General features: G+C 39.3%; 1 protein-coding gene across 31 annotated transcripts in view; it reads left to right on the top strand.

Moving 5' to 3' along the window:
• Positions 1-25,240, top strand: part of L3MBTL4 (L3MBTL histone methyl-lysine binding protein 4) — a 460,543-nt gene that overhangs the window by 232,569 nt on the left and 202,734 nt on the right. For 27 of the 31 annotated variants that reach the window (NR_158610.2, NR_158609.2, NR_158611.2 and 24 more), the window contains one exon: positions 10,749-10,863. Coding sequence is in view for 25 of the 31 variants with exons in the window: in NM_001365765.2 (NP_001352694.1) it covers positions 10,749-10,863 (115 nt within the window). In the remaining 6 variants the exon portion in view is untranslated. Of the gene's footprint in view, positions 1-10,748; positions 10,864-21,171; positions 22,806-25,240 lie in introns of those variants that run through there. The other 4 variants (XR_007066253.1, XR_007066252.1, XR_935072.2 and 1 more) reach the window with 3 other exon arrangements.

Here is a 25,240-nt window from a genome sequence, read left to right as displayed (position 1 = left end):
AAAACTTAAATGTGAAATCTAAAACTACAAAAGTCCTGGAAGACAACCTAGGAAATACTATTCCGTATATAGAACCTGGCAAAGATTTCATGATGAAGACACCAAAAGCAATTGCAACAAAAATAAAAATTGACAAATTGGACCTAATTAAGCTAAAGGGCTTCTGCACTGCAAAAGAAACTATTAACAGAGTAAATGGACAGCCTACAGAATGGGAGAAAATATTTGCAAACTATGCATCCAACAAAGGTGATATCCAGAAACGCATCAACAAGCAAACAATCAAACAACCCCATTAAAAAGTGGGCAAATGATTTTAAACAAATCAACAAGTAGGCAACAAATGACCCCATTAAAAAGTGGGCAAAGTATATGAACAGACACTTTTCAAAAAGAGACACACACACAGTCAACATGCATATGAAAAATGCTCAACATCACTAATTATTAGAGAAATGCTAATCAAAACCACAGTGAGAGACCATCTCACACCAGTCAGAATGGCTATTATTAAAAAGTCAAAAAATAACAGATACTGGCAAGATTGTGGAGAAAAGGGAATGCTTATACACTGCTGGTGGGAATGTAAATTAGTTCAATTATTGTAGAAAGCAGTGTAGCAATTTCTCAAAGAACTCGAAGCAGAATTGCCATTCAACCCAGCAGTCCCATTATTGGGGGAATATAAATCGTTCTACCATAAAGACACATGCAAGTGCATGTTCATCACGGCACTACTTACAGTAGCAAAGACACAGAATCAACCCAAATGCCTAACAGTGGTAGACTGGATAAAGAAAATGTAGTACATATACACCATGGAATGCTAGACAACCATAAAAAAGAAGGAGATCATGTCCTTTATAGCAACAGAGATGGAGCTGGAGACCGTTATCCTAAGTGAACTAATATAGAAACCGAAAAACAAATACCACGTATTCTCACTTATAAGTGAAAGCTAAACATTGAGTATGTGTGGATACAAAGAGAACAAGAGATGCTGGGGCCTACTTGAAGGTGGAGGGTGGGAGGAGGCAGAGCATTGAAAAACTACCCAGCATGGCCGGGTGTGGTGGCTCACACCTGTAATCCCAGCACTTTGAGAGGCCAAGGTGGGCGGATAACTTGAGGTCAGGAGTTCGAGACCAGGCTGGCCAACATGTTGAAACCCCCACTCTACTAAAAATACAAAGAAAAATTAGCTGGGCATGGTGGCACGCACCTGTAATCCCAGCTACACAGGAGGCTGAGGCAGGAGAATTGCTTGAACCCAGGAAACAGAGGTTGCAGTGAGCTGAGACAGTGCCACTGCACTCCAGCCTGGGTGACAAGGTGAGACTCTGTCTCAAAAAAAACAAAAAAAAAGAAGAAAAACTACCTATCAGGTACTATGCCTATTACCTGGACGGCAAAATAATCTGCATACCAAACCCCTGTGACATGTAATTGACCTGTATAAAAAACCTGTATTTGTACCCTTGAACCTAATATAAAAGTTTTTAAAAAAGAATGTAAAATGCAAAAAAAAAAAAATTGTCCTCACCTCAAACAGAAAGTCCGTACCCAAAAACCAGTAATTCCCCAGTCCTACCTCCCTGCAGACCCTATTAACCTCTAATCTACTTTTGGTCCCTATGAATTTGCCTATTCTAGATATAAGTAGATATTTGTCCTTTTGTGCCTGGCTTACTTTGCTTATCATGATGTTCATCTGTGTTGTAGCATGTCAGAACGTCGTTCCTTTTGGTGGCTGAATAATATTCCATTGCGTGTACATACCACATACCCATTCATCAGTTGACGGACACTTGGATTGTTACCACTTTTTGGCCATTGTGAATGCTGTTGCCATGAACATTGGCATACAAGCATGGAAAAACAGCAAATAATCTAGGGTTTGTGGTTAAAAAATACAGATTTTGACCTTCATTCTTGACTCCCACTGAATTAGATCTTGGTTGGAGGAGAGGATGGTTCATATTTTGCTTAATAAATTTTGAAAAACACTGCTTTAAGAAACCTGATGAATTTGGGCAGTGGCCTTACAAATAAAAATAGGTTTAGAATACCTATAGTGAAAACTATTAATTTTCCAACTTAGTGATTAAAAGTTTTTCTATGATATTTGTTATGGGAAAGGATTAAATGGAAGATGGAAGCAACTATATTTGTGGAAAAGCAGATGAGTTTGAGGGAGGTTAGCAGGGACAAGGAGTTGAGTTAATTGACCATAAGTGAGTGTGGAAGCAGTGGTAAGGAACAAACCTAGGGGCAGCCGGTTCCAAAACCACAGAACAGCACTTCAGGCATGTGGCCTGGGGGAGAGGGAGGGTTTAGGAGTCACAGTCATCTGGAAATTGGGGGCATATTTCATAATCCCTGTCTCAGTAGCCTTATATGTAAAATGGGGATAATAACATGAGAGTAAGGTGTTTTGAAGGTATATATATATTTTTCCTTTCCTTCATGCTCTCTCCTTCATTACCCTTGTCTGCAAGCAGATGGACTGAATGTGGAGTTAATGTTTACTGTGGAAAAGTATGGGTAGCTCTGGACTATATCCCTCATTTAGTCAGTTATATTGTTTTCCTGATTTATTTTCTTGCATGGTTCTCTCAGTAAACTGTTCTCAGGTTAAGTCTGTTTTTGCCATTTACTGGCTTATGATCTTGGCAAACCTCTTAACATCTGTGAGGCCCCTATTAATCATCTATTAAAATAGTACTGTGAACATTAAATGAGGCGCTATATAGGGCCGCACTCAGTGCCTCATGCCTGTAATCCCAGAGCTTTGGGAGGCTGAGGCAGGAGGATCACTTGAGAACAGGAGTTTGAGACCAACCTGAGCAACATAGCAAGACCTTGACTCTACAAAAAAACAAAATAAAATAATTGAGTGGTGTGGTGTGGTGGCATGCGCCTGTAGTTCCAGCTATTTGGGAGGCAGGAGGATCACTTGAGCCCAGGAGTTTGAGGCTGCAGTGAGCTGTGGCTGTGCCATGTCTGTGTATGTGTGTCCACACACACACATTACAACTATCCCTGGAATATATGTGTACAATAAAAGTGTGTCCCCTGCCATACCCAACACTCTTGCTCTTGGATTATGATAGTATTCTGTAAAGGCACGGTGCAAGCATTCTTGCCCCACAGCAGGGCAGATGTCTTGCCTCAGTACTATCCCTGAACCCACCTTTGCCATCCCTCAACAGAGCCCAGAGCCTGGCATCACAGGAAGTAAGATGAACTATAATCTTATTAGCACCAATAGTTATGAGCAATAGGTATCAGGAAAACATATTAAAACCCAGTTCTCCTCTCTAGAATGAAACTTAAGCCTAGTTAACTCAAAATGTATTAAATTAAAGCTAGAAGAGTTCAGGCACAATACAGGCTGTTTCTGAAGAAGTTAACATCATGTCTGCGCTTACAATTTGTTTGCCATAAGCATGTAAAATAGATTTGAGGACTCTGACAGTAAAACAAACGTATCCAATAAGCCTATTAAAGTGGAAATTAAAAATTTAAAAAAGGTTTATAGCAAAATAAAACAATGTAATAGTCACTTAGGCTAATAAAATTATTGTGACTGAGCATTCAATTTAGCCCCAATGTTCCTAGGTATTATAATAACTTCCTCGTCTTCCAATTGCCCAAAAGAACAATGAGAAGATGTGATTACTGTCTTGCATCTTATTCAGACAATGGGCTTTGAGCCTTTAAAATCTGTGAGACACAGGGCTAAGTGCCATGGGAGCAGCGAACATGACTGAGGCGTTGGGGTACATTTAAGGGGCTCAGGGCAAGTCCTACTGTGGGCATTGGGAAGTAAAGATAAGGAAAAGCAGAGACTGTGTTGGTGCAGACGGCTGGAAGTGTGGGATTTATGCCAAGGAGTTTTTCCTTGTTGTTGTTGTTTTTAATATGCTGATCTAACTTTTAAATTTCCAAGTTATTTCTTACCGCTCTTTAATAGCTAATGTGTAACGTTAATACCATTAGGACACATTCCTGTCTGTTGAAGGATAAGAACTTGAGACAGTGGTTGATTCAGTGATCTGACCTTTGTTTTCTAGTTTATCAAAGCTTGAGCAAGAAGGGTCTACATGTTTATTTTATGCAAACCCAGATATGTGAAAAATAATAAATGTATGAAATATAATGTTGAGATGATTTGGTTTTCAAAATGAGGCTTTGCTTTACAAAAGGACTCTTGGTAAATAGACTTAAAATGCCAGTCTCCTCTATTAACTTGACCATCTGGTTAGAATTTTTTAAATCGGATTTTTATTCCACAGATCCAAAGATATGATCCAAAGATATGAAAATATCTTTCATAAGGATGTATTCTACATAGGCACAGATTTTGATTATAAATTCAGAGTTTAGACAGCCCTTGTTGGGGAGGGGAGAATCACATCATTGGATTGGGAGGCTATTTTTAATTTCCATGGTTTCATTGTAAGCAGTTATAGACAATCCTGGAAATGATAATTTAATATTTATTAATGAACATAAGAGGAAAATGTTGAATAGGGTATGTAAAAATATTGTACCTGCTGTCAAAAAAAATTGAAAAAGATTTTTTTTTTCACTTCTTCAGTTGAGACCTAATTCTGCAGTCGGATTCCCAGGTCCACCACAATAGTTAAAATAGAAAGACCTAACTCCTCAAAGCAGGACCTTGCTGGGGTATTTGTCCTGTCCTGTTTGTGCTTTGACACAACTTCCTTGCTTTTGAAACATAAAAAAATTGCACCCCAGACTTAAAAGGGGAAGGGCATTGAAATTAGTTGAAGCTTGGGAAATTTATTTCTTCTTCACTCCATTATATGGACTTACACAAACTTCTTCCTATTGGTAATTCCAGAGCAGGAGGCATCATTCCAAAAAGGAACACCAGTGTTGCCTGTTCACACCTTGAATATTCAGTGGCCTGGTACTGACAGTCCTAGGGTGCCTGGCTATGTCTTGAGCACTGCAACATCGCCATCAGTAGAAGATAGTAGGAGACAGAGCAGCCACATGTGACAGCAGCTGAATGTAGAAATGTTTTAAATAAAGTAACTATATTGAGATGTAATTTGCAAATGATAAGATGTACAGATTTCATGCACGCATTTTGATGAGTGTTGAAAAATGTATAATATATCCTGCATAGCCACCATCCCAGTCGAGATGTAGAACACTTCCAACAACACAGAAGCTTCCTTTGTGCTCCTTCTCAGCCAGTCCTGCTCCCATCCTTCTCCCAGACAACCATGGACCTGGTTTCTATTGCCTGTTGTCAGATTTCCTATCAGTGGGGTCATGCAGCATGCACTGTTGTGTCTGCCTCATTGCTCAACATGAAGTCTGTTGTTCCCATGTTCATGCATGTGTAAACAGTTTATCCCTTTTTATTGCTGAACTAGCATTCGTTTTATGGACATTGCACACTTGTTTGTGAATGAATGTTCACCTGTTGGGCATTTGGGTTGTTTTCAGGTTTGGGCTATTATGAATAAAACTGCAAGGGGCATTTGTTTACACAACTTTATATTTTCATCACTTTTGTTGGAATTACTAGGAGTCACAGGGTAGGCACACGGTTTAAGCTTCTTTAAAAAGTAGTATAACATTATTGAAAGTGGTTGTGCAATTTTACACCCCTGCCGACATTGGTATGAATGCTTCAGGAGCTCCACAGCCTCGGCAGTAACTGATGTTGGGAAATTTTGTCTGTCATTTAAATCACTCGAGTGGGTATGCGGTAGTAATTCATTTTGGTTTCTCTGGTGAAGAGTGATATTGAGATGTTAAAAGTTTGTTTATTGATCATTCATGAATTTTTTTTCCAAAATGTTCATTGAGTCTTTTGCTCATTTTTTACATTGAATTTTTTGTCAAGTCTCTTGTCAGATAAATGTATTGCAAATGCCTGTGGCTCACTTCATATTTTTCTTGGTGATTTTGAAAAACAAAAGTTTTTGAGTCAGGTAAAAAATGAATTTATTAATTTATTATTATATGGGTAGTGCCTTCTGTGTGCTAATAAATCCTTGAATATTCCAATATCATGAAGACTTTATCTTAAAGTTTTCTTCTTGGGTTTTGTAGTTTTAGCTTTTATGTTTTGTTTATGTTTCATTTCAAATACTTGTGTATGTGTGATGTGAGGTAGAAGTCAGCTGGCTCATTTTTTTTCACATGTTGATGTTCAAGCATTCTGGTGCCATTTGTTGAAAAGACTGTACTTTCTTCATTCAATACTCTTGTCATGTTTTTGAAAATCAATTGACTGCATATATATGGATCAATTTATATGCAGTATTTTGTTTTATTAATATATTTGTCTATCCTAAGCCAGTACAACATGGTCCTAATAACTGTGCCTTTGTAGTAATTCTAAAATTCAGATAGTATCAGTTCTCCAACTTTGTTAATTTTTTTTACAAAATTGTTTTGGGTAAGCTAGGTCATTTTTCATTCCTTTATAATGTTAGAATCTGCTTGTCAAATGATACAAAACAAAAGGCCTACCTTTTTGAGTAGGATTAAATTGAATTTATGGAACAATCTGGGAAGAGATGACATATCAATAATAATATTGAGTCTTCCAGCCTGTGGGCATGATAGTTCTCTTCACTTGTGTGGGATCATCTTTTAATTTCTCTTAGGAATGTTTTCTAGCTTTCACATTTTCTTATTTTCTCAGATGTTTTGCTAAGTTCTTCATTTTTAATGTTATTCTAAAGGAAATTTTTAAAAAATTAATATTTTTTAAATTTTTTTGTTGCCAGTATATATTAATAGAATTGATTGTTTTATGTTGACTTATTTTGCAAGTTTCATGCCTTTTATTAATATTTCTTTCTCTTGCCTAATTGCACTACATTACAATGTTGACTAGAAACAGTAAGAATGAATAAACTTGCCTTATTCTTGATTTTGGGGATGAAGCATTCAATAAAGTATTACTTAGTCTGATATTACCTGTGTTTCATAGATGCCTTTTATCAAACTGAGGGAGTTCCCTTCTATTTCTAGTTTACTGAAGTATTTGTCATTGTGTATTGAACTTTGTCAAATACTTTTTCTGTATCCACTGAGATGACCACATTACTTTTCTTCTTCTTCTGTGGTGTAATGAATTAATCAATTACAGAACACGGAACTAGCCTTGCATATTTCCCCGCATATTTGCTGTTGCTAGTACTCTTCATGTAGATCGTAGTTTTCATCTGGCATCACTTAGCATCAGCCTGAAATACTCCCTGTAATATTTCTTACAGTATAAATCTATAAGTGCGTATTCTTTTTTTTTGTTTATCTGAAAATTTCTCTGTTTTAGTCTTTTTTGAAGGATATTTTTTGTAGGAATTGAAATTCTGTGTTGACAGTTTTTTATGTTTCCTGTTAGCGTTTTAAAGATGTCATTTTATTATCTTCTTGCCTGCACTGTTTCTGGTGAGAAGGTGGCCCACTTTCCCATCGTGGCTCTGCTCTTTGCAATGTGTTGCATTGTGTCCGGTTGCTTTCAGGGTTTCCCTTTAGCTTTCATTTTCAGTGGTCTATGATTTGCCTAGTTTTCATTTCCTTTGTATTTATTATGCTCAGGTTTTGTCATTCTTAAGCTTGCAAATTGGTATTTTTGGCCAAATTAGGGAGATTTTTTGTTTTAACCATTATCCTTTCTGCGTTGGTTTTGTTTGACCACTATTCCTGCTCCATTCTCTCTGTGTCCTCTCCTTCTAGAATCCAAATATGCGTATGTTAGATGAGTTGATATTATCAGGCTCTATTTATTATTTAAATCTTGTATCATCTTTTTTTTTTTTTTTTTTGACAGAGTTTCGCTCTGTCACCCAGGCTGAGTGCAGTGCCGCAATTTCGGCTCACTGCAAACTCCGCTTCCCATGTTCAAGCCATCCTTGTGCTTCAGCCTCCCAAGTAGCTGGGAATACAGGCATGCATCACCACACCAGCTGATTTTTGCATTTTAGTAGAGATGGGGCTTCACCGTGTTGGCCAGGCTAGTCTTAACCCCCTGGCTCTAAGTGATCTGCCTGCCTTAGCCTCCCAAAGTGCTGGGATTATAGGTGTGAGCCATCACACCGGAACATCATCTGTTCTTTAGGTTAATAACTTCTATGAATCTGTTTTTATATTTTATATTCACTCATCTGTTTTTCTGCCATCTCCAATCTCCTATTATTGCCATCCAGCAATAATATTGTCATCCAGCAATATTTAAGATATTTTGCTATTGACTTCTAGAATTTCTATGTGCTTCTCTTTTATAGTTTCCATTTCTCTCCTGAAATTCTCTGTTCACTCATTTAGACCATTTCAATTAAGTTTTTGAACATATTTTCCTAACTACTTTGCAATCCTTTTCTGCTAATTACAACATCTAGGTTATCTTAGGTTCTATTTCTGTTGACCACTTCTTCACAAATTGAGTATGGCTCACAATCATCTGCTTATTTACATGTTTAATAAACTTTTGTATGTTATATGTAATGAATGATACAGCATATAGTGGGAGTTTTTTTTTTTTTTTAAGAGTAGAGTTCGTTCTATCAGGGAGTTCATTACTGGTAATTCTTCATCTGGCTAAGGCTTGATTTTACCCCTTTTTTAGGGTTGTTCATGAGTAATTATTAATCTAGAGCATCTTTCTTTCCCCAAAATGTGAACTTTGTGGTGTCTCAGTCAAATTGTCAAAGTGTTAATTGAGGTTTCTCCACATTAGTCTCTCCCCTCTCCCCGGAACTTGTGACCTCTAGTATCTTTGTTTCATTCTCAGCCCCGTATCAGCTACTCTCTGCTTGGCTTCAGAAAGTCTTACCTGGTACATGGGCAGTCCAGCCCTTGGTCAAGGTCTTGTGAATAACCTCCCATGGACTTTTTGGTCCCCCACTTTATTGAGACAGGGTCTTGCTGTGCCGTCCAGGCTGCAGTGCAGTGGCATGATCATGGTTCACTGCAGCCTCAACCTCCCCAGGCTGAGGTGATTCTTCTATTTCAGCCTCCTGAGTAGCTGGGACCACAGGTGCACACCACACACCTGGCTAGTTTTTGTATTTTTTGTAGAGATGAGGTTTCACCATGTTGTCCAGGCTGGTCTGGAACTCCTGGGCTCAAGAGATCCTCCTTCCTTGGCCTCCCAAAGTGCTGGGATGACAGGCATGAGCTACTGCACCCTGCCTTTGGTTCCCCCTTTTTTGTAGTTCTGTCTTTTCCAATACTTTGTCTTTTAACTTCCAGCTGCATCATGCACTCTGATCTGCAATCTCTGTCTCTCTGACTGCATAACTGCTTTCTTTATGTTTCTTCTCTGTGTGCTGCAATCAGGAAATTGTCTCCAGGCTGATGTTAAGGGCTCATCTGGGATGTTTTCCTTTACTTAGGGATTGCATTTCTGTGCTGCCTATTGTCCGATGTCCGAAAATATTCCCTGCATATGTCCAGTTTTATGGTTATTACTATGAAAGGGCACTCTGTCATGGTCAGGAACCTAAGTTCAGTAGAAATGTACTTTTGAAAGTTATTACTGTAATCTCTGGTTCTCAGACTTTAGCATATAACAGATTCATGTAGAACACTTGTTAACACACAGTGTTAGGCTCTACCTTTAGAGTTTCTGATTCAGTAGGGTTGAGGTGGAGCCAAGAATTTGCATTTTTAACAAGTGCCTAGGTCGGTGATGCTGATAGTCTAAGAATCACACTTTGAAAACCACTTGCTTAGAAAGACGACTCTTGAGAAAAAATATTGGGAGTTTATTTGGGACTGAATATATAGAATTTTGCTTTTTTGGTCTTAAGTTCTGCATAATGGATTTATATTTCAGATTGGCTTATTACAGCACTAGGCATCTTGCTCTTTTTATTCAAATATGATTTTCAAAAACTTAAGTGGGCTTCTTTGCATTAGAAAGGATATAGATTTTTTAAAAGAAATAATTATTTTTAAGAAATAATTATTTGATTTTTGTTTCAGAAATTGGGATTTATTTAATTATTCTTATATGTGTGCATGGTATGTGTGTGTGTGTTTTGCAGATAAGATGCAAGATAAATTATCCTTGCAATAATTAGCCTTGTTGGAGCCTATACCAGTAGGATGGCTGGACCTGGGGATGGCTGGATCTTCTTCAGAAGATTTCTTAATAGCTTACCCTTGGCCTTTAAATAGCTCTTATGGCAGCTATTAAAATCTATCTACCTACCCCCTAGCATATTTTGTCTACTGTTTTTGCCTCCATGGTTCCAATGGGCCCGTCTCTCATTTGTGAGGTTTTAGGGATTGATTGTTTCTTTATACTCTAATCTGTGTATTTCCCATCAGTATAGCACTTGTACTAATGTCAAGTTGGTGACTCTTACTGTTGATGATGCTGACATGGTTCTTGAAGTGGTTAATAGGACAGTCGCTCAGGACAAAGAGTATCCCCTCAACAGCATTCCAGTACGTGTCTTAGTTGAGAAAATGGATTGGCCTTACTTCTTCAGATTCTGGTCAATCCCTGACAAAGTTTTCGTTTACCAACCACTTTAATTTCTTTGAAAATTTGGTACAATTGCCTTTGTTGGCTGGATTAGAAGGCTATAGAATGGCACATATTAAATATTATTTCAACTGCAAGGTGTGATCAATAAAATTTCAATCTCAGCTTCAGACATCTGTATTCAAATATTTTGATACAGGAATAGTGAAATCCTAATTACTAAATGCTAATCATTCAAAACTCGTTTTAACAGGTTCATTTTGATGGTTGGGACCATAAGTATGACTACTGGGTGGAGGCAGACAGCCCTGATATCCACCCGATCGGATGGTGTGATGTCACAGGGCATCCACTGGAAGTGCCACAGCGTGAGTACTTTGCTCTTTGTTGTTGCTTTTTAAATACTTGGCCTGATTTCCAGCCGTAATGTTGCTTATTCATGCCATTACAGGCATTTGAAAGCTAAACATCACATAGGCGAATTAATCACTACAGCTACACTGAAAGCCGATTATTTACAATTAAGCCTCAAAGGGCATGCGTTATGTTAATGAAAAGTGATAATCTTTAAAAAATTATTTTGATAGTGTTTTCCAAAGGAATCTTTATTTTCTACATTTGAGTTTGGAAAACTGAGCTAGCACATCTAAATCCATCTAATTTTGGTCATTGGTTTTAACAAGTTCATCTTATTTTTTTAAACATCTGATCTTTATTTTATAGAATAGACTACACAAAGTCTTTTGGAAAATTAAAATATTTTAACTTCCAACAATTTTCAGATTTTACTTATAAAAAAATTTAAAATCCTCTACTTTACTCGCATCTTTATTATTTCTGACTTTCTAGCTACTTAAAGTTAAGGAGGAAATTAACCTCTCTAAATTTTAATGAGCCTCAACCCAAAATACCTTATTTTTTTGTCTGAAGGAGTCCTCTGATCTGATTAGGCTGACATGACTAATAACCAGTTCCAGACACAAGTGCAAGTGTTCTCCATTCTCATGTTTGTTTTGTTCCCTCACTGCTTCACTTTCCCTCCCATTGGTTTCTTAGCATGAAGCTAGAATGCTTTTCTATTAATGAGGATATCTTACATGGAGCCAGCCTAATGATGCTTGAACCTTAGACCCCAAAGGACTTCTTGTAAAAATGAGAAGAATCCCTGACTAAATAATTGGACAAACAGTTCTACATTGTGCTAGGTTCTTCAAAAACTACAAAATCAAAGAGATGAAGGCCCTTCTGGAGCCTACAGTGTATTGGCACACATAGGACCAGTACCCTAAGAGTGTAGAATGAAGAGGACCATGGTCAGCACCATATGGGGGACTCCAAGTAGGGAAGGGCGCCAGCATTTGTGCTTTGTGGTTTCCTCTGGTCTCGCTTTTTATCCTCCCTGGTTTCACACCCCAGCATGTCACGGAGATGGTTCTCACTTTATGTGAACCCCCCCCAATACACCCCTGTACATCCATGCCTCAGCCAGTAACTTTCTCAAGTACGAACGATTTCCGCTGGGGTAGGCGTGGACCAGCATTGCAGATACAGGGACAGCTCTCTTCACTCCACTCCAAGCATTGTCTGCTCCTTTGTCACTCTACCCACCTGGCTTTTCTACCTGAATGTCTCAGAAGCATCCCAGAGTCTATGCATCAAACCAAACCTCCATCCCAAGCCAAAAACTTGCTCTTTCTACCGTTTGCTTCCTAAGTTGCCATTCCAGACTCTGCTCCCTCTTGACCCCTTCCTCAACCCACACATATAAACAGTCACCAAGTGTCCTGCTGGTTCTTTCTTAATTATACAGAATCTATCTTTGACCCCCAATGCTTTGACCCCCAGTGCATCTTCTCAATGCTATTGCATTATTTTGAGGTGTCATCATAGTTACGGATGCTTCTCAGAATGTGGCCTGTAGTCTGCTAGTGAGTTGCACAGGTTCTCCTGATGAGCCTAGGATAAATCTAAAATCTAGAGCAGTATAGACTAGTGGTTAAAAATGAGAAAACTGGAGTCAGAATGCTGGGCTTTGAATCTCAGTTTAAAGCTTGCTTAGTGTGTGCCTCTCTATGCCTCAGTTTCCTCATCTATAAAATAAAGATAATATTAATATCTATCGCATGAATTTATAATTATTAAATGAGATAAATGAATGGATAGAATTCAGAAACTGCCTGCCCCGTAGCATGTGCTCAATTAAATCTTCTCTCAGGAAATAATGTGACATTCTCTAGATTTTCATTCTTATGTAAGTTATTAAGTGGGAGTTACTAAGAGTTCCAGATTTGAAATTGAGCTAAAATTAATGTGATTAGGGTTTTCCAAATACTTTAATTAAATTTTTCTTTTATTATTATTATTATTATTATACTTTAAGTTTTAGGGTAGATGTGCACAACGTGCAGGTTTGTTACATATGTGTACATGTGCCATGTTGGTGTGCTGCACCCATTAACTCGCCATTTAGCATTAGGTATATCTCCTAATGCTATCCCTCCCCCTCCCCCCACCCCACAACAGTCCCCAGTGTGTGATGTTCCCCTTCCTGTGTCCATGTGTTCTCATTGTTCAATTCCCACCTATGAGTGAGAACATGCGGTGTTTGGTTTTTTGTCCTTGTGATGGGTGGCTGAGAATGATGGTTTCCAGCTTCATCCATGTTCCTACAAAGGACATGAACTCATCGTTTTATATGGCTGCATAGTATTCCATGGTGTATATGTGCCACATTTTCTTAATGCAGTCTATCATTGTTGGACATTTGGGTTGGTTCCAAGTCTTTGCTATTGTGAATAGTGCCGCAATAAACATACATGTGCATGTGTCTTTATAGCAGCATGTTTTGTAATTCTTTGAGTATATACCCAGTAATGGGATGGCTGGGTCAAATGGTATTTCTAGTTCCAGATCCCTGAGGAATTGCCACCCTGTCTTCCACAATGGTTGAACTAGTTTACAGTCCCACCAACAGTGTAAAAGTGTTCCCATTTCTCCACATCCTCTCCAGCACCTGTTTTTTCCTGACTTTTTAATGATCGCCATTCTAACTGGTGTGAGATGGTATCTCATTGTGGTTTTGATTTGCATTTCTCTGATGACCAGTGACGATAAGCAGTTTTTCATGTGTTTTTTGGCTGCATAAATGTCTTCTTTTGAGAAGTGTCTGTTCATATTCTTTGCCCACTTTTTGATGGGGTTGTTTGTTTTTTTCTTGTAAATTTGTTGGAGTTCATTGTAGATTCTGGATATTAGCCCTTTGTCAGATGAGTAGGTTGCAAAAATTTTCTCCCATTCTGTAGGTTGCCTGTTCACTCTGATGGTGGTTTCTTTTGCTGTGCAGAAAGCTCTTTAGTTTAGTTAGATCCCATTTGTCAATTTTGGCTTCTGTTGCCATTGCTTTTGGTGTTTTAGACATGAAGTCCTTGCCCATGCCTATGTCCTGAATGGTAATGCCTAGGTTTTCTTCTAGGGTTTTTATGGTTTTAGGTCTAACATGTAAGTCTTTAATCCATCTTGAATTAATTTTTGTATAAGGTGTAAGGAAGGGATCCAGTTTCAGCTTTCTACATATGGCTAGCCAGTTTTCCCAGCACCATTTATTAAATAGGGAATCCTTTCCCCATTGCTTTTTTTCTCAGGTTTGTCAAAGATCAGATAGTTGTAGATATGCAGCATTATTTCTGAGGGCTCTGTTCTGTTCCATTGGTCTGTATCTCTGTTTTGGTACCAGTACCATGCTGTTTTGGTTACTGTAGCCTTGTAGTATAGTTTGAAGTCAGGTAGTGTGATGCCTCCAGCTTTGTTCTTTTGGCTTAGGATTGACTTGGCAATGCGGGCTCTTTTTTGGTTCCATATGAACTTTAAAGTAGCTTTTTTCCAATTTTGTGAAGAAGGTCATTGGTAGCTTGATGGGGATGGCATTGAATCTGTAAATTACCTTGGGCAGTATGGCCATTTTCACGATATTGATTCTTCCTACCCATGAGCATGGAATGTTCTTCCATTTGTTTGTATCCTCTTTTATTTCATTGAGCAGTGGTTTGTAGTTCTCCTTGAAGAGGTCCTTCACATCCCTTGTAAGTTGGATTCCTATTTATTTTATTCTCTTTGAAGCAATTGTGAATGGGAGTTCACTCATGATTTGGCTCTCTGTTTGTCTGTTATTGGTGTATAAGAATGCTTGTGATTTTTGCACATTGATTTTGTATCCTGAGACTTTGCTGAAGTTGCTTATCAGCTTAAGGAGATTTTGGGCTGAGATGATGTGGTTTTCTAGATATGCAATCATGTCATCTGCAAACAGGAAATTTGACTTCCTGTTTTCCTAATTGAATGCCCTTTATTTCCTTCTTCTGCCTGATTGCCCTGGCCAGAACTTCCAATACTATGTTGAATAGGAGTGGTGAGAGAGGGCATCCCTGTCTTGTGCCAGTTTTCAAAGGGAATGCTTCCAGTTTTTGTCCATTCAGTATGATATTGGCTGTGGGTTTGTCATAGATAGCTCTTATTATTTTGAGATATGTCCCATCAATACCTAATTTATTGAGAGCTTTTAGCATGAAGGGTTGTTGAATTTTGTCACATGCCTTTTCTGTCTCTATTGAGATAATCATGTGGTTTTTGTCTTTGGTTCTGTTTATATGTTGGATTACATTTATTGATTTGCGTATGTTGAACCAGCCTTGCATCCCAGGGATGAAGCCCATTTGATCATGGTGGATAAGCTTTTTGATGTGCTGCTGGATTCACTTTGCCAGTATTCTATTGAGGATTTTTGCATGAATGTTCATCAAGGATATTGGTCTAAAATTCTATTTTTTTGTCGTGTCTCTGCCAGGCTTTGGTATCAGGATGATGCTGGCCTCATAAAATGAGTTAGGGAGGATTCCCTCTTTTTCTATTGATTGGAATAGTTTCAGGAAGAATGCTACCAGCTCCTCCTTGTACCTCTGGTAGAATTCAGCTGTGAATCCATCTTGTCCTGGACTCTTTTTGGTTGGTAAGCTATTAATTATTGCCTCAATTTCAGAGCCTGTTATTGATCTATTCAGAGATTCAACTTCTTCCTGGTTTAGTCTTGGGAGGGTGTATGTGTACAGGAATTTATCCATTTCTTCTAGATTTTCTAGTTTATTTGTGTAGAGGTATTTATAGTATTTTCTGATGGTAGTTTGTATTTCTGTGGGATCGGTGGTGATATCCCCTTTGTCATTTTTTATTGCGTCTATTTGATTCTTCTCTCTTTTCTTCTTTATTAGTCTTGCTAGCGGTCTATCAATTTTGTTGATCTTTTCAAAAATCCAGCTCCTGGATTCATTGATTTTTTGAAGGGTTTTTTATGTCTATTTCCTTGTGTTCTGCTCTGATCTTAGTTATTTCTTTCCTTCTGCTAGCTTTTGAATGTGTTTGCTCTTGCTTCTCTAGTTCTTTTAATTGTTATGTTAGGGTGTCAATTTTTGATCTTTCCTGCTTTCTCTTGTGGGCATTTAGTGCTATAAGTTTCCCTCTACACACTGCTTTGAATGTGTCCCAGAGATTCTGGTATGTTGTGTCTTTGTTCTCGTTGGTTTCAAAGAACATCTTTATCTCTGCCTTCATTTTGTTATGTACCCAGTAGTCATTCAGGAGCAGGTTGTTCAGTTTCCATGTAGTTGAGCAGTTTTGAGTGAGTTTCTTAATTCTGAGTTCTAGTTTGATTGCACTGTGGTCTGAGAGACAGTTTGTTATAATTTCTGTTCTTTTACATTTGCTGAGGAGTGCTTTACTTCCAACTATGTGGTCAATTTTGGAATAGGTGTGATGTGGTGCTGAAAAAAATGTATATTCTGTTGTTTGGGGTGGAGAGTTCTGTAGATGTCTATTAGGTCCGCTTGGTGCAGAGCTGAGTTCAATTCCTGGATATCCTTGTTAACTTTCTGTCTCATTGATCTGTCTAATGTTGACAGCGGGGTGTTAAAGTCTCCCATTATTATTGTTTGGGAGTCTAAGTCTCTTTGTAGGTCACTAAGGACTTGCTTTATGAATCTGGGTGCTCCTGTATTGGGTGCATATATATTTAGGATAGTTAGCTCTTCTTGTTGAATTGATCCCTTTACCATTATGTAATGACCTTCTTTGTCTCTTGATCTTTGTTGGTTTGAAGTCTGTTTTATCTGAGACTAGGATTGCAACCCCTGCCTTTTTTTGTTTTCCATTTGCTTGGTAGATCTTCCTCCATCCCTTTATTTTGAGCCTATGTGTGTCTCTGCACGTGAGATGGGTTTCCTGAATACAGCACACTGATGGGTCTTGACTGTTTATCCAATTTGCCAGTCTGTGTCTTTTAATTGGAGCATTTAGCCGATTTACATTTAAGGTTAATATTGTTATATGTGAATTTGATCCTGTCATTATGATGTTAGCTGGTTATTTTGCTCATTAGTTGATGCAGTTTCTTCCTAGCCTTGATGGTCTTTACAATTTGGCATGTTTTTGCAGTGGTTGGTACCAGTCGTTCCTTTCCATGTTTAGTGCTTCCTTCAGGAGCTCTTTTAGGGCAGGCCTGGTGGTGACAAAATCTCTCAGTGTTTGCTTGTCTGTAAAGTATTTTATTTCTCCTTCAGTTATGAAGCTTAGTTTGGCTGGATATGAAATTTTGGGTTGAAAATTCTTTTTTTAAGAATGTTGAATATTGGCCCCCACTCTCTTCTGGCTTGTAGAATTTCTGCCGAGAGATCAGTTGTTAGTCTGACGGGCTTCCCTTTGTGGGTAACCCGACCTTTCTCTCTGGCTGCCCTTACCATTTTTTTCTTCATTTCAACTTTGGTGAATCTGACAATTATGTGTCTTGGAATTGCTCTTCTCGAGGAGTATCTTTGTGGCATTCTCTGTATTTCCTGAATTTGAATGTTGGCCTGCCTTGCTAGATTGGGGAAGTTCTCCTGGATAATATCCTGCAGAGTGTTTTCCAACTTGGTTCCATTCTCCCCGTCACTTTCAGGTACACCAATCAGATGTAGATTTGGTCTTTTCACATAGTCCCATATTTCTTGGAGGCTTTGTTCATTTCTTTTTATTCTTTTTTCTCTAAACTTCTCTTCTTAGTTCATGTCATTCATTTTGCCTTCCATTGCTGATACCCTTTCTTCCAGTTGATCGCATCAGCTACTGAGGCTTGTGCATTCGTCACGTAGTTCTTGTGCCATGGTTTTCAGCTCCATCAGGTCCTTTAAGGACTTCTCCACGTTGATTATTCTAGTTAGCCATTCGTCTAATCTTTTTTCAAGGTTTTTAACTTCTTTGCCATTGGTTCAAACTTCTTCCTTTAGCTCAGAGTAGTTTGATCTTCTGAAGCCTTCTTCTCTCAACTTGTCAAAGTCATTCTCTGTCCAGCTTTGTTCCGTTGCTGGTGAGGAGCTGCGTTCCTTTGGAGGAGGAGAGGCACTCTGATTTTTTAGGGTTTCCGGTTTTTCTGCTCTGTTTTTTACCCATCTTTGTGGTTTCATCTACCTTTGGTCTTTGATGATGGTGACGTACAGATGGGTTTTTGGTGTGGATGTCCTTTCTTTTTGTTAGTTTTCCTTCTAATGGTCAGGACCCTCAGCTGCAAGTCTGTTGGAGTTTGTTGGAGGTCCACTCCAGACCCTGTTTGCCTGGGTATCAGCAGCGGTGGCTGCAGAACAGCGTACATTGGTGAACTGCAAATGCTGCTGCCTGATCGTTCCTCTGGAAGTTTTGTCTTAGAGGAGTACCCAGCCGTGTGAGGTGTCAGTCTGCCCCTAGCGGGGGGTGCCTCCCAGTTAGGCTACTCGGGGGTCAGGGACCCACTTGAGGATGCAGTCTGCCCATTCTCAGATCTCAAGCTGCGTGCTGGGAGAACCACTACTCTCTTCAAAGCTGTCAGACAGGGACGTTTAAGTCTGCAGAGGTTACTGCTGCCTTTTGTTTGTCTGTGCCCTGCCCCCAGAGGTGGAGCCTACAGAGGCAGGCAGGCCTCCTTGAGCTGTGGTGGGCTCCACCCAGTTCCAGCTTCCTGGCCTCTTTGTTTACCTACTCAAGCCTCTGCAATGGTGGGCGCCCCTACCCCAGCCTCACTGCTGCCTTGCAGTTTGATCTCAGACTGCTGTGCTAGCAATGAGCGAGGCTCCGTGGGCATAGGACCTTCCAAGCCAGGTGCAGGATATAATCTCCTGGTGTGCCGTTTGTTAAGCCTGTTGGAAAAGTGCAGTATTAGTGTGGGAGTGACCCGATTTTCCAGGTGCCATCTGTCACCCTTTTCTTTGACTAGGAAAGGGAATTCCCTGACCCCTTGTGCTTCCCGGGTGAGTTGATGCCTCGCCCTGCTTCAGCTCACACACAGTGCACTGCACCCACTGTCCTGCACCCACTGTCCAGCGTTCCCCAGTGTGATGAACCCGGTACCTCAGTTGGAAATGCAGAAATTTCCTGTCTTCTGCGTCACTCATGCTGGGAGCTGTAGACTGGAGCTGTTCCTATTTGGCCATCTTGGCTTCACCCTCTAATTCACTTTTTCTTAAGAAGTTTGAGTTCCATGTGTTGTTGGCAGTATTACAAGATGTGTATTTTGTGTATTCACAGACAGGTAATTACAGTCCCTAGAATTTGGGGGAAAGACAACTTGTAATTGGCTGTCTTTGGTTGGTTATGATTTTCAGTTTTTGCTGTTTGACTTTTTTGTTATAAACTTGTTTGTTTAGATTAATCAAGATTAATATAGCTTATTATAGGTTGTTTGGTTAATCTTATGGTTTTAATTATCTTTATCTGCACCATAAATATTTATGTTTTATTGATTTTGAAATACCTATACTTTAAGACATGCTTGTGATGTGGTTCAATATATGTCATCCCTGCCCCTATTGTGAAAGCAAAAATACACACCCACCCACACACACACACACACACACACACACACACACACCCACCCCCCCCCCACACACACACACCCGTAGACAAACACACCCCTACTCCAAAACCGATTCTGTTACTTATTTTTTTATTTATCACTGAATTCTTTTTCCACTGGGAAGTAGAAACAAATGGTTGCTCCAGGCACTCTAACAAAACAACATTTGAGGGCCTGTCATTGACCGTTGCAGTGGTGTTATGATTGTCTTTTCTCTCTTCTTTCCTGGAATAGTCCATATAAAACCCCAAACTCACCTCGTTTTCCACGTTATTAAAACTCTTCTTTGGCATGGAGTATCCTATCAACCTGAGACTCCTTTGCATGCACACAAAGCCCTTCACAGTCAATGCATTACTCACCTATCGTCCACCATTTTCCTCTCAAAACCTTTCATTTACACCTCACATTTACTCACAGCACCTTGAACACTGGCCTCCTAAGAATCTGAAGACAATATCTTACCTTTCTATAGCTGTCCTCTGTATCTTCACTTTTCTTACGGGAAAATCACACCGCTCAGTTGTTGTCAAATGCCTGTGTGGCATGGAGGCTTCAGGGCATTTGCTCTACAGAGGAGTCACATGTACCACCCTTTTACTGTGTCTTTTATCTATGATATGTGTACAAACAATCACATCCAATCATCTTTTATTCTGAGTGCCAGTTGAGTCAATGGGTTAATCTTATTTACTCATATAATTCAAACTAAACTTTTCTCACTATAATGTCCAGTATCTTTTAAAATCAGATCAAAATAGAGTTTGTAAGTAGATCTATACAACCACACGCAGTATTTTATCATATATGAATAAAGTCAGCTGGCCAACATTAATTTCCAGATATTTTAGAAGTATTTTAAGATAGTTTAACTTTCGGATTTTTTTTTGAACTCTTTTGTTTTATTTTTGTTGTATTTATGTGACTCAACAATTGTGTTAGGTACTTATCTATGATAACTTTATTGGTCAAATACTACAAAGACTACTAAAAGTTGAGGGCTTGGGAAAATGATCTTAGAGATCATGGAATCTACTCTATATTTTATAGAGGTGGAATCTGACTTGAATGTTATTTTATTGATTTACTTTAGTGGATTTTTACAAAAGATATCACAGTAGGTTGTCTACCAGTGATATTATATGAAAAAAGAATGATCAAAAGAAAATATGAGGTAGAGAGTTTTTTAATCTATTATTCTCATCTGTTTTTCTTTATGAATATTTTCCCTTTTTTCAACAAATTAGTAGCTGTTATTGTAATAAAAACCTTGGAAACAAAGGAAGAAAAATGCGTACATACACACACACACACAGGTATATTCTCTCTTAGCTTTCTTAGATATATATATATATTTTATATATAAGAATTATATGTATTTTTTCAGTGAGCTTCCAATTTGTGTCTGAAGGGACTGTGGTTTACAAATGTATGAAATAGAATAAAATCACACAGCTGCCCATGGATGAGTAAAAATGAAATCTAGATTGCTACTGTTGTTTTACAGAGTGAGCAGAATGCAGTGGGGTGAGCCCAGGAAGGAACCTCGGGGCAGTGTTGAGCCGGGCTCAGATGAGCACGCCGGGCCTGAAATAGTTAGTGGCAGCCTCTCTAGAGGTGAAAATGGCACAAGTGTAGGCAACACTAGAACTTGCTGGTTCTCTATACACATTTTATTAGAACTTATTAAAATTTTAGGTCTTTCTAAACAAGTGATAATCCCTTTAGTTTGTTTCTATTTTTCTAGTGCCATTTAATCTCATTGCAGACATTGAGCCAAGGTAGAGTGCACACCGTGGATCTCAGCTTCTGCAGAAATACTTGTGCAGTAAATTTGAGCCAAGACCATAATATTCAAGCCCTAAGGCCCAGTGTAAGTTCTTGAAAAGTTAACAGGGAAAAGCCTCTTGAGAATGAAAACTTAAATGTTCCCATTCAACTGAAAAGAGTCCAATTTTGTATGACCAGGTGATGACAGCTTCCTCTTAGCTGCTGTTCCTAACTACAGATGATCACCTGCAATTCACCCTGGTACCCTGCTGCCAGATTAAGCTCTCCTTTTCTCATCCATGAGGACGCGATTTGTCTGCTTTATTTGACATAGAGTCCCTCATGGTGGGCTTTTCCTACAGTTAGAATTGAAACTAAATACTGATGTCTTAGCACTGTTGAATTGTCAAGATCTTTCTATCATGCTTTGTGTTTCTGGAATGTCCTTTAAAAATATGAAAATATCAGAACCTAAAAACCATGCCTGCTCTGGTCATCTAACTGGGTCATATTTTGGCAATCTTTTTAGTCACATCATTTGGAAACTGTAATCCCAGTCACACTTGATGTAAATTTTCTTTAAATGGAGCTCATTTCTTTTACTATATTGGTAATTATTCACACACAGATTACCTACTCCATTGGACAATGGGATGTCCAGTTTTTCTTGCGTGGGAAATTAACCAAGTTTGAGAAGCTAGATGATAGACTCTGGAGTTAGGAAGACTTGGATGTCCATTTCCTTTCTGCTCTGATTAACTCCGTGCTTTTTTTTTTTTTTTTTTTGAGACGGATCTTTATTCTCGTCACCCAAGCTGGGGTGTAATGGTGCGATTTCAGCTCACTGCAACCTCCGCCTCCCAAGTTCAAGTGATTCTCCTGTCTCATACTCTTGGGTAGCTGGGATTACAGACCCCGCCACCAAGCCCGGCTAATTTTTGTATTTTTAGTAGAGACTGGGTTTCACCATGTTGGCCAGGCTGGTCTTGAACTCCTGACCTCAGGTGATCCGCCCACCTTGGCCTCCCAAAGTGTTGGGATTACAGGCGTGAGCCACCGCCCCTGGCCAACTCTGTGCGTTTGGATGAGTTCCATGACCTCTGGAATCTGCAGGCCTGTGAGATTAAACAAGGTTTTGGCTCCGAACACTCCTGACTTGTAACACTGCTGACTTGCAACACTGTTGACTTGCAACACTGACTCCGAACACTCCTGACTCCAAACACTGCTGACTTGCAACACAAAAGGTAGTCACTGAGTAAGGGAATGAACGCCGGCTCCTCTTTTAATCCAGGAGATCCCCTAGGGTGGGGTCTTTGTATTTTCACCCTTGCTCCTCACTCTGTGGAACCTCTGTAGCTCTTGCAGGTGCTTAGCTCATGTCCGGAAACACTTGGTGAAGGCTCCAGGATGGAATGTGCCAGTCCACCAGCAGGGCAGCCCCCCAGGACTGCATGACTCTCCATGCTGTGGATGAGAACGGCTGTACTTACGTCACCCTTCCTGCCCCTTCAGCCCTTGTTTTAAACACTCTTTCAGAAATCAGAGCTAAACAATGCAGAATAAAATATTTGATTATGTAGAAATGCTTTTAAATGTTTTAAAGTAGGAATAAAAACAACAAAATAAAAATGTGACATGTCCCAGTGCTTCTAATAAGATAGATATAGCTTGAGACAAAATATTCATTTTTTAATTAAATGCAGATTTGGCTGCACCACTTAGTAACTAACAGACTTTTCTCACCAGGGTATATATAAAGTGTTTGTTATGAAATGACAAAAAACTGAGGTGCCGCGACAAGGGCTGGTGGGGTATGGAGTGGCCTGGTGGTGCTGGCCCTTCAGGGAGAGCCATGTGGCATGCCCTGGAGCCTCCCGTGCAGGGACCATCGCGTCAGATTAAGCTGGGCTCTTGTTTATGATGGGAACACTTTGCATCTCCAACTTAAGAAGAACAAAGCTGCTCGCTCAGCTTGGGTATAGATATAAATAGATGCAGGAGAGGTGTTTCGATTCATCTTCTCTTATCCTAGTCACCAAAGATAGGGGTGTGGAATATGAAACTGATGGAATCCTAGGACTTATCAGATCCAAACCTCTCATCCAGAGGTGAGGCAACTCAATGATTCACACAGCTTGTTAGAGCCAGAGTGGGGTCTCTGGTCCTGGTCAGAATGTATTCTTACTTGCCTAAACCCTGCAATATGCACTTTTATAATCAGATGTGTTGCCCTCTGGTTATCCCGTCTCTGAACAGAAAAGTGGGTAACCCAGCCAGTGAGAGGTCCCAACCTGGGGCGAGGCCTATGGAAGTGCTGAGGTTGGGTTTCCAGCAAGGGATGGTATCCTCTGTTTTGCAGCATCAGCAATGCTGCATGAGGCATGAGGGGAAGAGGGCAGCAAAGCCCAAAAATAGATGACATTGCAGCATAGCCTCATACCTGGGTCGCCTGCAGTGACTTCACATCATTCCTGATCATCAGCAGCTCACAGGGCACACTCTTCCCAGGAAGATGGAGCCTTACCTTTTCATAAAGAGACATCCCTGATGGGTCTTGCTCAAGATCCTTCCTCCAAGGAGGAAGAGCTGTTTGCTCTAATCCCCAAGCCACTCTGTATGTGGCTTTTATATCTTGACACCAGATTTCTGCTCACCTACCAGCCCTTTTAGAGACCCCGTGCTTCCTTACTGAGGCACGTAAGAACTTCTGGGTCCCCTCCATGTACCACACAGGCTGTGCTGAAATGGAAGTACAGCCTTGGGCTCATTAACTTGGCCACTGACCTTCTACCATGTGTAAGTAGCCATGTGGGATCTCTTTCTACAGATGTACAGCTGTCCCTTAGTATTGCCACAGCCTTGTTTTAAGACCTCCTATTTATAAATAGATGCCCACTCCAATGCCAGCATGAAGGAAGGGTAAATGAAAACAGAGGGGGAGTAAATGAAAACAGAAGAGAGGAGTGTGCACATACACACCTCTTGCCTCCTTGTCTTCCTTAAGCCTCTCATTCACTACGCTTATTCCTTTCTCTCAATTGGTGAACACAAACTCTTTCCACCCTAAGGCCTTTGTATATATATGCTGTCTTCTCTGTTCAGAATGGTCTATCTGCTCTTCTACCAGATGGCTCTTTCTCACCCTTTAGAATACATCTTGAATGGTCCCTTCTTAGAAAGGCCTCCATGGGCCATATTATCTAAAGAATAGCAATCACTATTATTTTTCATTTGACCACTTCCTTATCTCCGCAGTGCAAAATACAATATGTAATCATCTCAGTTGTCATTAGTTCTTATGAAACCATAAGCTTCATGAATGGAAGGACGGTGGTATCTCTTAGTGTTTTTCCATGGTCTGACTTCCAAAAAACATTTGTCTATATATTCTTCTCTCTATAATGTGTTGGTTAGTCACATAATGCAAAACCAACATGCATCTGTAGAGGCCACCTTGGGCTCTCGCCTGCCACCTTAATGGAGTGAGTGAGTTCTTGAGTAGTAGCTATGGAATTGGTCTAGTCAAGCCTAGTAGGAGAGACACAGGCCAAGAATAACCCTCCCTAAGTGACCAAGGAAACTTTCCTAAATAGGAAGTTGATAGGCAGAAAAATGAGATTTCTTAGCTAGCTTCCATGTCTAAATAATTGTGTCATTGTTCTTTCTTTAGCTTCTGTTTGATTTTTATTTGGAAGTAATTATAATGCTTGATTACAAAGTAAATTAAATTATCATTATGAAGTTAAAGTGTATATTAATAGAGTAATAATACAAACTAAAATATATATATCCTTTGTAATTTATATTAATGACTTTGAGAACATTGCTAATTTATTTAACAGTTAAACATAAACAGGCATAATAGCACATAACTTGATAAAAGGTATAGTTCATTTTTATCCAATTTCATTTAATATACTGCACGTATATAAATACAACAGAATGACTTGTAAATACACCATATGGCTGGTACATTGTTTATCCTGATGAGTGAGATAAAATTCTTAATCTACACTAAGCAATGAATGATTAATAATGCCATCTTTTATGAGCATTGAAACTCT

The sequence above is a fragment of the Homo sapiens genome, chromosome 18, assembly GCF_000001405.40.
Source record: "Homo sapiens chromosome 18, GRCh38.p14 Primary Assembly".
NCBI lineage: Eukaryota > Metazoa > Chordata > Mammalia > Primates > Hominidae > Homo > Homo sapiens.
Note: the sequence above shows the minus strand (reverse complement) of the source record. Positions and strands in the feature narration are given on the sequence as shown.